We start from the raw sequence: 1140 nt of genomic DNA on the forward strand, positions 1-1140 counted from the left end.
AGCATTGGACTGTCCAAGCAGACAGGGGCAGAGGAGGTTCCCCACCATGACACAACTGTTTTGTCAGGCATGTCCAGACTGTTTCTTTAAGCATGACACAGATCCACTTTTCCTCTTGGGGCTGTTCTCCCAGCCGGCGCCTTCAGCCACCCCCACCCATGTTCTACAGGGACAACAGAGCTCTAATTTCTCCCTGGGACGGAGTGACTGATGGGCCAGGCAGGCTGCCGCCTTAGCCATTCAGGTTTCTCAGCCGGTCCAGCCTGTGGGTCTTGGAGAGCCCAAATCAACTGAAGGCTAAAGGGATCCCCAACACAACACAGCTGCTCTACCGCAGCCAGACTGCTGCTTTAAGCAGTTCCCTGATTCTGTTCCTCCTGACTGGGTGATACCTCATAACTGGGTTCTCCAGACACCTCCTACAGGTGCCTTCAGGCCTGCAATAGGTCAGTACTCCCCTGGGATGGAGCTTCTAGAGGAAGGGGCAGGATGCCATCCTTGCTGTTTCACAGCTTTCACAGCCTTCACTGGTGATACCTCCAGGTACAAGAAAAACCAAGGCAACTAGGGTCTGGAGCAGACCCCGAGCAAACTACAGCCACCCTGTGGAAGTGTGGCCAGACTGTTGAAAGACAAACTAACAGACAGAAAGCACAACCACCACCAATACGACCCCACAAAAACTCACCAAATGTCAGCAGCCTCAAAGATTAAAGTTAAATATGCCCAAAGATGAGAAAAAATAAACATAAAAATGCTGAAAACTCAAAAAGCCAGAGTGCCCCTTTTCCTACAAAACTGAAACACCCTTACAGAAAGGGCTCAAAACTGGGCTAAGGCTGAGATGGCTGAAATGGCAGAAGTAGGCTTCAGAAAGTGGATAATAATGAACTTCGCTGAGCTAAAGAAACACGTTGTAAACCAGTGTAAAGAAGCTAAGAATTATAAAGCAATACAGGAGTTGAAGCCAAAATAGCCAGTTTAGAGAGGAACACAACTACCTTGTTAGAGATGAAGAAACAAAAACAAAACAAAAAATACTACAAGAACTTCACAATGCAATCACAAGTGTTAATAGCAGAATAGACCAAACAGAGGAAAGAATCACAAGCTTAAATAGTATCTTTCTGAAATAAAAGA

The 1140-nt window shown here is 46.6% G+C and overlaps 1 annotated feature.

The window, feature by feature from the left end:
* Positions 331-831: an enhancer, noted in NCBI's record as "H3K27ac hESC enhancer chr4:117484471-117484971 (GRCh37/hg19 assembly coordinates)". NCBI's record gives its function as "activates a minimal SCP1, AML or CMV promoter by ChIP-STARR-seq in naive H9 embryonic stem cells {active_cell/tissue: H9 hESC(naive)}" and the evidence as "EXISTENCE:reporter gene assay evidence [ECO:0000049][PMID:30033119]".

This window comes from Homo sapiens, chromosome 4, assembly GCF_000001405.40.
Source record: "Homo sapiens chromosome 4, GRCh38.p14 Primary Assembly".
Classification (NCBI taxonomy): domain Eukaryota; kingdom Metazoa; phylum Chordata; class Mammalia; order Primates; family Hominidae; genus Homo; species Homo sapiens.